The following is an 11,126-nucleotide window of genomic DNA, read 5'->3' as shown; positions in this document are numbered from 1 at the left end:
AGACTTAGGGTCCACAGTGGCAGTCTGGGTGTTGTATTGCCATCTCTCCTTGAAGGAGAAGATGAACACTTGGTGGGAGGGCGCCTGGGAGCTGTTGCTGCAGTGTAGAGAAGCCCCATCTTGGCCCAGCGGGCAGCAGCCTGTGCTGAGAATGGGGACTCCAGGACCAGAGAGGCCTGGCAGTGGATCCTGGCTCTGCCAAAACCACTGCTTGTGCATCTGGACGACGGGGACAGCGCAGTGCCCCTGTCACAGATGGTGATGGCTCCTGGCGGTGGTGCACAGAAGCTCGTGGCATGGCATCTGGTGCACAGTAGGTGCTAGAACATGGAATCTGTCATTGGAGCTGGTGTGACCCAAGATGGCCACCTTGGGTCTCTGACACTCCGGGGCTGGCTGTGTCCCAGGACAGGTTCATCTTTGGTCAAGCCTCCAGGAAAAGAGCACTGGACTGGGGTCAGGAGAAGCAGAGGCCATGGGTTCTGTCACCAACCAACTGTGTAATCCGACACAAGTCCCTGAGCTGCTTTGAGCCTCAGTCTTCCCATCTTGCAAATGGGGATAATAATCACAACCACCACTGACTGTGAACTTACTCAGTGCCAGGCACTCCACCGAGGCCTGTACATTGCCTTATCTAATTCGACCCTCAAAGCAACCAAGTGAGGTAAAGACTAGATCCCAGTTTCACAGATGAAGGGACAGAGCCTCAGAGAAGTGAAGCCACATGCTGGGGACACACAGCTGGAAGGTGGTGCAGTCTCCATCACACACCCCTGAGAGCGAGTGTCCAGCTGCTGCTCCTGTCTCTGTTGTTCCCCCGCTCTTCCTGCTCACCTCCTGTACTTTTTGGTGGCTCAGGCCACAGCCCTCCCTTTGTATTTGAACCCTTGGATCCAGCCATTGTGGAATCTTCTGAGTCTGGTGGAGATCCAGCCCCCTCAGTGGGAGACATCCTCAGGGGTAGATGGGGGCTTCAGGAAAGCCAGGTGGGCCCCACATGGTCCCCACAGTCAACCCGGCAGCCCCCAGCCGATCTGCCATCCACTGAGTCTCCCCCTGCCGTTTACACCGAAGGGTTGGGGTTCCTAACCCACCCAGGTGGACGCGTGGCCTCCAGATGGTGCAGTTAATCCCGCTGGAAGCCGTACATCAGCGTGATTGTCCCAGCTTCCCTTCTCCTCCCCTCCTCCGCGCTGTCACCTCTGAGGAGCTAGTGGGAGAAGCGCCCCTCCAGCCCCCCGCTCCCGTCCCAGGCTTTGTTCCTGCTCAGTAGCCGGAACAGGAAGTGGCCCAGTCACGGTCTCCATAGCCCATGTTTGAATCTCAGCCCTGTCACTGCCCAGCACGGTGGCTTTGGCCAAGCATTTCATCTCCTGTTATCCTGTTTCCTCATCCATGAAATAGGGTGGGTCACAGCGCCTCCCTGATCCCAAAGATGGGGGCTGCTGTGTATGAGCGCTCCACCGTGGACCTGGCTCCCAGGGATCCTGGGATATGTAACAAGTGCTTACTTTGGGCTAGGTGTTGTAAATGCTTTAGCTCAGCAAATCCTCAAACAAGCACGTTAATGACCCTGTTTTATAGGTGGAGAAGCCGCCACTCCGAGAAGGGAAGTAAGTTGCCCAAGGCCACACAGCCAATTAGCAGAAGAACTGGGATTAAACCAGGCAGGCCTGTGCAGCTCTAAAGACCTCGCTGTAACCTTAGGTTCCTGGCCCTCCCTACTGAGCTCCTCTGAGGCTACCAAACCAGTGTCTGCAGTGACAGCATCTTTAGCCTTCCCTGGGGCTGCTGGGCTAATAGGGCCTTAATAAAGCCAGCAGAGGCATCTGCAGCTTTGCAGGGCAGGAGCTGAGGGGCCTGGTGCAGAAGATGTGTCCTGATGAAAATATCAGGTGGGGAGGGGGAGGGGACCATGGGGTGAGCCGCCTGCTCATGTCTCCAGCTTCCTGACCTCTGTGGCTGAGTCACTGGAAGCCTCCAGGTGCAGGGGACAATCAATTCCATCACTCATTCCATCCATGTTGGCTTACTTCCTTTCATCCATCCATCCATCCATCCATCCATCCATCCATCCTCCCAATCACTCATCCTCCCTCCCGTGCTGCCATGCATCCACCCATCCATGAATCCACTCAGCTACCCATTCCTTCCCTCCTTTCCTCCTTTCATTCTCTCCTTCCTTCTGCCCATCTGTCCATCCAGTGTTTACTGAGCACCTATCTTGAGCCAAGCCTTATGTGACGTGCCCAGGTTCCTCCCTCTGAGGGACTCACATTCTCAAAAGGATGCAAAACAACTAACCCCAAGTGCCCAGGGCCCTAGGAGAGGAGAGGGCATCTCAGGGGCTCTGACACTGGGCTCTGCACACCTTCCTCAGCCAAGGCCGCCAGGTGACCTTGGGCCGATCACACTCCCTGGGGACCTCTCTTCTACATATTCAAAAAAGGGTGTGCTTGTCCATTCGGCTGTTATGACAAAATACCTTAGACTGGGTTATTTATAAACAAATTTATTGTTCACAGTTCTGGAGGCTGGGAAATCCAAGATGAATGTGCCTGCAGATTCGGTGTCTGATGAGGGCCGTTTCCTCATAGATGCCTTATAGCCTTGTCCTCACGTGGTGGAAGGGGTGAGCAGGCTCCCCAGGCCTCTTGCCTAAGAGCATGAATTCCATTCATGAGGATAGAGCCCTCATGACCTAATCACCTCCCAGAAGCCTCACCTCTTTTTTTTTTTTTTTTTTTTGAGACGGAGTCTCACTCTGTTGCCCAGGCTGGAGTGCAGTGGCGCGATCTCAGCTCACTGCAAGCTCCACCTCCCGGGTTCACACCATTCTCCTGCCTCAGCCTCCCCAGTAGCTGGGACTACAGGCGCCCCCCCACCATGCCTGGCTAATTTTTTGTATTTTTAGTAGAGATGGGGTTTCACCGTGTTAGCCAGGATGGTCTTGATCTCCTGACCTCGTGATCCACCCACTTCGGCCTCCCAAAGTGCTGGGATTACAGGCGTGAGCCATTGCCCCAGGCCAGAATCCTCACCTTTTAATACACATTGCAGATAATGGTGTTTTTTTGTTTTGGTTTGGTTTGGTTTGGTTTTTGTTTGTTTGTTTTGAGACAGGGTCTCCCTCTGTCACCCAGGCTGCAGTGCAGTGACCTCATCTTGACTCACTACAGTCTCGGCCTCCCAGGTTCAAGCAATCCTCCCTCCTCAGCTTCCCGAGTAGCTGAGATTACAGGTATGTGCCACCACACCTGGCTAATTTTTGCATTTTTTGTAGAGACGGGGTTTCACCATGTTGGCCAGGCTGGTCTGGAACTCCTGACCTCAGGTGATCCACCCGCCTCAGCCTCCCAAGGTGCTGGGATTACAGGCATGAGCCACCAAGCTTGACGCAGATTATGTCTTGACATACGAATTTTGGGGGGAGGGGGGTCAGGTCATGGTAAATGTGGTGCATTGTGATGTCTCCTATTCTGTATTTCTACAATCCCAAACAGGTGAGTAAGAACCCAACTAACTACTCCCCCGAGCACCCATTCCCACCCCGGCCTCTGGGATCTGCCTCCAACACCTGCAGGTTCCCCAGATTGAGGTCCAGGTCCGCTCCAATTGACCCAGACAAGCTGCGGTGGGACCTGGCAGAGGTGGGGGCCGGGGCAGAGCACTGGACTCAGAAGCAAGAGGCCAGGGGCGGGGTCTGGCTCTGTCCTGTGATGTGTGACCCTGAGGAAATGGCATTCCAGAGCTCAGATGAAATACCTTAGAGACTCGGGAAATGTCAGCTGTTGGGGGCATTACTGTTATAATTATTGCTGTCATATTGTTGCTACAAAAGAAGCTGGTTAGAGCCACTGGCTTTGGGAGGCATCGTTCATTCGGTGGTTACCACTCGTTCACCCACTCACTCAATAAAAATTTATTACTGTGGCTGGGCATGGTGGCTCACACCTGTAATCTCAGCACCTTGGGAGGCCGAGGCGGGCGGATCACCTGAGGTCAGGAGTTCGAGACCAGCCTGGCCAACATGGTGAAACCCTGTTTCTACTAAAAATACAAAAATTAGCCAGGCATGGTGGCGGGCACCTGTAATCCCAGCTATTTGGGAGGCTGAGGCAGGAGAATCGCTTGAACCCTGGAAGCCGAGGTTGCAGTGAGCTGAGATTGTGCCATTGCACTCCAGCCTGAGCAACCAGAGCAAAACTCTGTCTCAAAAAAAAAAAAAAAAATGGCCAGGTAAGGTGGCTCACGCCTGTAATCCCAGCACTTTGGGAGGCCGAGGCGGGTGGATCATGAGGTCAGCAGATCGAAACCATCCCGGCTAAGACGGTGAAACCCCATCTCTACTAAAAATACAAAAACTTAGCCAGGCATGGTGGCGGGTGCCTGTAGTCCCAGCTATTTGGGAGGCTGAGGCAGGAGAATGGCGTGAACCCAGGAGGCGGAGCTTGCAGTGAGCCGAGATCGCACCACTGCACTGCAGCCTGGGCGATAGAGCAACACTCCAACTCAAAAAAAAAAAAAATTTATTACCGTGATCTGTGCCACGTGTTGGGCCCTGAGCCAAGTGCTGGGGAAGATACTAGGTAAGACAGGATCCTGCCCTCCAGAGAGGGCGTTGAACAGGTAGGTGTCACCTCGATTGCCAGGTCCCCATTTAATAGAGGCTGTGTTGAGGATTCTGAGACTACATCTCGGCTTAGAGGGAAAGAGTGCTGTGATCAATTAGTAATGTCTGCCACATTCACAGGGAGAGGAGTCTACACTAAGGCATTTCCTGGCCTTAACACTAAAGAATAGGCAGGATTGGCCGGGCGCAGTGGCTCACGCCTGTAATCCCAGCGCTTTGGGAGGCTGAGGCAGGTGGATCACGAGGTCAGGAGATCGAGACCTTCCTGGCTAACACAGTGAAACCCCGTGTCTACTAAAAATACAAAAAAATTAGCCAGGCGTGGTTGCAGGTGCCCGTAGTCCCAGCTGCTGGGGAGGCTGAGGCAGGAGAATGGTGTGAACCCGGGAGGCGGAGCTTGCAGTGAGCCAAGATCGCACCACTGCACTCCAGCCTGGGAGACAGAGCAAGACTCCGTCTCAAAAAAAAAAGAATAGGCAGGATCTCAGACAGGAGACCCTCGTGACTGTGTGACTGTGGTTGCCTGACACACGACCAGAGACAGCAAGTCATTGACCTACTGCTTGCCTCGTTTTACCTGTTTGCGAAGCAGAGATGCCAACATGGGACTCACTGCATTTTTAGAAGGAGCTAGAGCTGGACAGCCCAGCCTTCCTGTTTTAACCCAGCCTCCTCTGGGCTGGAGTGAGGATCAAGTGTGAGATGCCCCTAAATGGAAACACATCGCGCTCAGCAGATGCCTGGTGGACGGCCGACCAGGAGCTGGAGCTGCAGCAAGAGCACAAGAGAGCTGGGCTTCCAGCTGCTCTGCCATTGGCCCTGCTTGGGCCTCAGCTTCTCCATATGCTCAGTGCGTGCTTGGAGGATGGAAGTGTTTTGGGGCCTCTGGAATCCGCTGTCTTGTGATGCCTGCAATGCTGAGACCTGGGGTCGGGGGAGCAGAATGAAAGCGGAGCCCAGGAGGGCAGATGGTGGGAAGGAGCACTCCAGTGCCCCATGTGGTGGGAGGCTGGGTGGGCAGAGGGGAGAGGGAGGACATGGGGAAGGGCAAGGAGAGGCCACCACTGCTGGATCTTCCCGAGGGCTGTCTAACTCCCTCCCGAGGGCTGTCTAGCTCCATCAGGGGGCGCTTCCCCATGCACCCCCATCCCAGGTGTTATCTCGAGCAAGGAAGGGCAGAGGGAAGAGAGGGTGGGCAATGTGGGGGCCCCAGGGAGTGTTGGAGGGGCTGAGGCCCTGATAGGTGGGCGCCTGAGTTCTGAAGAGGCCCTGGCAGTGATGACCCCTGGCTCCAAGACTGGAACCCAGGAGCAGCAGGCTGGGGCAGAAGACGCAGGCCAAGCCCCAGTACTCAGGAGCATTGGGGAAACCAGGGCAGCTCCCGGAGAGGCCAAGGTGACCCTCAGACCCTAAAAACAGACTGGCCACGTCTCCCAGGTGGATGCAGCAGTTTCTCCATGAGCATGACTTGGGGATTTAGGGCACTGAGACTCTGCTACCCACCCCCCTTAAAAATCCCTTGTGACTCCCAGTTGTCCTGAAGGGGAACCCCAAACTCCTCAGAGGCAGCACATGCTGGTGGGTGAGAATTGGGAGCCTGAGTCCAAGTTCCAGCCTGGCCACTATCGGCTGTGTGACCACCAGTAACTCGCCTAACCTCTCTGGGCCTCATGGGCTCGTTGGAGGATGTGGTGAGCGAGTGACTGAGATGAGCTTAGCACAGTGCCGGCCACACTGCCATTGTTCAGTGCCGGGTGGCTGTGCTTACCACCACTGCTGGCTGTAACTGGCAGAGCAGGGCATAGAAGGTCTTGGCCACTTGAACCCTAGTTGGCCTATCCTTTCTCATCGGCTCCAGCTCCACCCGCTGATGCCGCCCCAACACCAAGCTGCTCTCTGTTCCCTCAACACTCCTTGGTCTTTCATGCCACTGGGCCTTTGCTTCTGCTGTGCCCCCGTCAGGAATGCCCTTTCCCCTCCAGGCTGCTTCCAGACTCTGCCGGTTGTCGAGTGCCCTGGAAACCCGCTCACCCTGCAGGAGTTACTCAGTGTCCTGTGTGCATCCAGACCTTGGTGTGTGGTATCGAGCCTGTCTCCTGTCTGAGTCTGTGACTTCTCAGGCGCACATGTCGTGGCCTATTCATTTTCTTATCCTCGTTGCCCAGCGCCGCGCCTGTCACACGGTGGGTGCTCCGTAGAGTGGGCTGGAGGATAGAAGCAATCAATCCCCAATACCGTGGACGTGCTTGGTGGCAGGAGATGCTTTGCTTCGATGAAATGCTCCGCCTCCAGGTTAGTGCTTTGCATGAGGGATAGGGACATGGAGGCGCCACGAAGGATCAGCAAGGCCCCTAATGACTCCTTTCTCTCCTCACCCCTCCTCTGCCTCTTATTCCTGCCCTGAGCAGGCATTGAGCTCCTGGGGTTGGGCAAGGAAGGGAGAGCAAGTGGCAGGGGGTGGGTGGGCAGCAGGTTCCCAGTCCTGCAGGCGCTGCTGGGATCAGGATGCCACCCTCGCCACCCTGGGAGTTGTCTGCAGCACAGGGGCAGCTGGAGGTGGAGGTCGTGTGCTCCATGGACAGGTGGGGGTCATGTGCTCCATAGGGTGCCCGGCTGGGCCCTTGTCCCCAGTGCCCTCCCTGGCTGCCAGACCTCTCACTGTGAGGCAGCCAGGTCTCTCCCTGTCCTGGCAGAGGGAAGGCTGTTGCTCCCATCTGGCTCTGCTCCTGGCCATCTGCCCTCTGACCCCACCTGCCCCAGGATGAGTCCCTGCAGAATGCTCGAGTTAAACAGAGTCTGAGGGAGTAGTGAGTCCAGCCTTCCCATTTGGCAGATGAGAAAACTGAGGCCCAGGGAGGCAAAGAGCCTTGTCTGAGGTCACACCAGGAACGCAGAGTTCCATCTATGGCTTGATGTTCTTCCAGGACAGGAGAAGACCTTGGTTTTGACCCTGAGGAAACAGCAAAACTTGGACCTTGAAGACAGGAGATTGCCATGACTAATTTGGGGGCAGGCGGTGTGACTTTGAGTATGTTACCTAACCTTGCTGAGCCACGTGGTACTGGTGAGGATTCGGTGAGATGACAACTGGTCACAGCATGGCAGGCCTCCTGGCATGTCCCTGACTCTCCTTCAACAGGAGCTTTCGATATATTAGGGAGCAGGTAAGCCTCACCTTGAACAAATCCAACTGATGACACTTGTTTTTATGCAGACATAGCGGTTCCCCTGACCTTTGTGATAGTGTGGGATGACCATGTGTGATGGAGAAGGGCCCACGGCAGGTTTCTCTGGGTATAGTTAGGCGGGACCAGATGTACATCCTGCTCTGCCCCCAGAAGCTGCAACTCGAGAGGGGCTTGGTGGCTCTGGGCCTCATCTTGCCCATCTGCAAAATGGGAGCAATGGCACTTCCCTCTCCAGGCTGTTGTGCCCCTTGGTGAGATCACTTCGGGATGTAGAGCCTTGTGAGCGCAGGCCTCCCAGAAGTCCATCTTCCTCACCAACAAATGACCCGGTTCCGGAGAAAGATCTCGCCTTTGGTTGCAAGGTAAGCCAGGTAGACCTGGCCTCAGGGCCTGGGTTTCCTGGGGAGGGATGGGGTCTCAGAGCTCCTGGGCTGAGTGAGTCGAGTCCCCCCAGGAACAGGAAGCTCTGCCCATCTGCAGCCCTGTCCACAGCTGGTCATCCCTTCCTCCCCATGCTGCTGGAAGCTTGGGACCCACCGGGCCCTCCCCGCTGCTGCTGGGTGCCACGTGGCTGCCGTTTGCCGAGGAGCGGGTGGGGCAGAGGGGTGTACATTTTCCAGGCGATGTTTCCCTGGCAGCTCTGAAAATTAACTGGCCGTTAATGTGGCATACTATTTATTTTAATTAGCAGGAAATTGACCAATTTCTTAATAAGAGGCTTTGTGGAAGCCAAACCTGTATTTGGGGTTGGCGGTGTGTGTGGTGGGGGAGGCGGTGATCAGACAAGAATGACACCCACAGCCCAAGAGGGGACCTTCAGGCACCACAGATGAGGTGGACAGAGTGACGGGACAGAGCAGCAGGGCCTGGAGAAACATTAGGGGGCAGCAGGAGGAGAGGGCTCTGGGCCAGGGGACCTGCAGAGGGCCGGGGGACATGGCCACAGGCCTCTGTGGGATCTGACTTCACTGATCTCTGCTTTTGACTTTGGCCTGGTGGGGTCAAATCCCTGATCTCTGTGTCAGGACTGTGCCTCTTGCCTCTAGCAACACCCCTTTCCCATTGGAGGAATTAACAGAGCAAATCAGTACCTGTGCGGGATTTCCTAAAGGCTCCCATTGTTTTTCTTTCTTTCTTTTTTTTGAGATGGAGTCTTGCTCTGTGGCCCAGGATGGGGTGCAGTGGCATGATCTCGGCTCACTACTACCTCTGCCTCCCGGGTTCAAGTGATTCTCCTGCCTCAGCCTCCTGAGTAGCTGGGACTACAGGCATGAGCCACCACGCCTGGCTAATTTTTGTGTTTTTAGTAGAGATGGGGTTTCACCATGTTGGCCAGGCTGGTCTTGAGCTACTTACTGACCTCAGGTGATCCACCCACCTCGGCCTCCCAAAGTGCTAGGATTACAGGCGTGAGACACCGCACCCGGCACCTGTTGCTTTTCTTAGATCCGACAGAATCACCAAGGTCCCCTAAGCACTTGTGCTGTGATGAGTTTCCCCATTTTACCAATGGGGAAACTGAGGCCCAGAGAGATGCCGTGTTTTGCTGGAGCCCCACAGATAACCCTACTCATCCTTCAGGTCAGCCTTCAACATAATGGTCTCAGGGGAGGCTGCCCTGACTCCCGGGTGGAGCTCAGGGCCCTGTTCCACTCTCACACGTATCCTGCACTTCTCCTTCAGGGTCGGATGGCAGTGGCAATGAACCGGCTCGATGTTTCACTGTCTTCACTGTCTGCCTCCCTCCCTGGACTGTGAGTCCTCCAAGGGCTGTTAGTGTGTTTGTGCACTCACAGTTGAACCCCAGAACCCAGGCAGGCCTGGCCCGTGGTGGGTAGGTGCCCATTGTTTGTTTGTTGAATGAGTGAGTGAGTGAATGAATGAATGATGGAGGCGAGAAGATATCATTTGAGCCTGGGAAGCAGAGGTTGCAGTGAGCCGAGATTGCACCATGGCACTCCAGCCTGAGTGACACAGCAAGACTCCGTCTCAAAAAAAAAAAAAAAAAAGATCTTATCTCCAAATATGTTACTTTGTAAAGTACTGGAGGTGGGAGCTTCAACACAAGAATTTGGGAGGGGGAAAATTCAACCCATAATAGTGTGTGAGACCAGAAAATTCCTCCCCCCACCGCCCATTTACAGGTCTCCTATGGAGAGAAGCATTGACTGGGGACACTTACTGGGTTGTGTTTGCTGGTGGCTGGGCTGGAAGGTCCACAAAGGCTCACTTCATGTGAGTGGCACCTCAGAGCTCTTCCACAGGCCCTTCTCTCCATGCAGCTCTCTTGGGCTTCCTCACAGCATGGTGAGTTTTTTCACGGTGACTGGCTTCCAAGGGGAAGGACTTCAAGCTGGGTGAGAGAAGATGCCTCAAATCTCTGCAGCCTCAGCCTGGGAACTCACACAGCGTCGCTTCTGCTACATCCTGTTGATGAAAGCCAGTCCTGGAATCAGCCCAGATCCAAGGGGAGGAGAAAAATACTCCATGTCTTTCTGGGAGGAATGACTAAGAATCCGCAGCCGCCTCCAATCCACCATGCCCACGCAAGAGACAGGAGTGATAATTGCAACCAAGATGGTGCATGGTAGCAGATTGGTCACTGTTTCCAGTTATTCACTGTCCTCCCAGTGAGAGGACTATTCATCCTGCCCCATTGCTACACGACGTGCAGGGCCTCCAGTGCTGGGTACACCTCCCCTCCCCACCAAATCAGGTTTGGCCATGTGACTTGCTTTAGCCAGTGAATCCGGAGCCCAAGTCCTAGCAGGCCATTCAAAAGAGAAGCTTCAAGAGCCATCACGTGGGTTGGCCAGCCTGCTTTTCCCTTTGAACAGAGCTGTGTTTTCTAGAGAGAGACCTTAGGTAAGCCTCCCTGTTCCACAGAATACAAATCCAATTGGTAAGACTTCTATCCATCTTAAGAAACCTTTATATATATATATCTGTATATATGTATATATGTGTATATATATGTATATATGTGTATATATGTGTATATGTGTATATATGTGTGTATATATGTGTATATGTGTATATATATGTATATATATATGTGTGTGTGTGTGTGTGTGTGTATATATATATATATATTTTTTTTTTTTTTGAGATGGAGTCTCACTCTGTCGCCCAGGCCGGACTGCAGTGGCGTGGCGTGATCTCGGTTCACTGCAAGCTCCGCCTCCCGGGTTCACACCATTCTCCTGCCTCAGCCTCCCGAGTAGCTGGGACTGTAGGCGCCCGCCACCACGCCCAGCTAACTTTTTGTATTTTTAGTAGAGACAGGGTTTCACCGTGTTAGC

The 11,126-nt window shown here is 54.4% G+C and overlaps 1 long non-coding RNA gene across 2 annotated transcripts, besides 1 other annotated feature; it reads left to right on the top strand.

The window, feature by feature from the left end:
• Nucleotides 1-6,869: 6,869 nt before the first annotated feature.
• Nucleotides 6,870-9,711, top strand: LINC02557 (long intergenic non-protein coding RNA 2557). 2 transcript variants are annotated; one of them, XR_007068019.1, is made up of 4 exons: nt 6,870-6,928; nt 7,561-7,800; nt 8,060-8,186; nt 9,508-9,711. It is a non-coding gene; the product is annotated as a long intergenic non-protein coding RNA 2557 (long non-coding RNA). The 2 variants fall into 2 exon arrangements; XR_938072.2 differs by having other exon boundaries at nt 7,561-8,186.
• Nucleotides 9,712-10,214: an enhancer, noted in NCBI's record as "H3K27ac hESC enhancer chr22:23852177-23852679 (GRCh37/hg19 assembly coordinates)". NCBI's record gives its function as "activates a minimal SCP1, AML or CMV promoter by ChIP-STARR-seq in naive H9 embryonic stem cells {active_cell/tissue: H9 hESC(naive)}" and the evidence as "EXISTENCE:reporter gene assay evidence [ECO:0000049][PMID:30033119]".

The sequence above is a fragment of the Homo sapiens genome, chromosome 22 (genome assembly GCF_000001405.40).
Source record: "Homo sapiens chromosome 22, GRCh38.p14 Primary Assembly".
Taxonomy (NCBI): Eukaryota; Metazoa; Chordata; class Mammalia; order Primates; family Hominidae; genus Homo; species Homo sapiens.
Note: the sequence above shows the minus strand (reverse complement) of the source record. Positions and strands in the feature narration are given on the sequence as shown.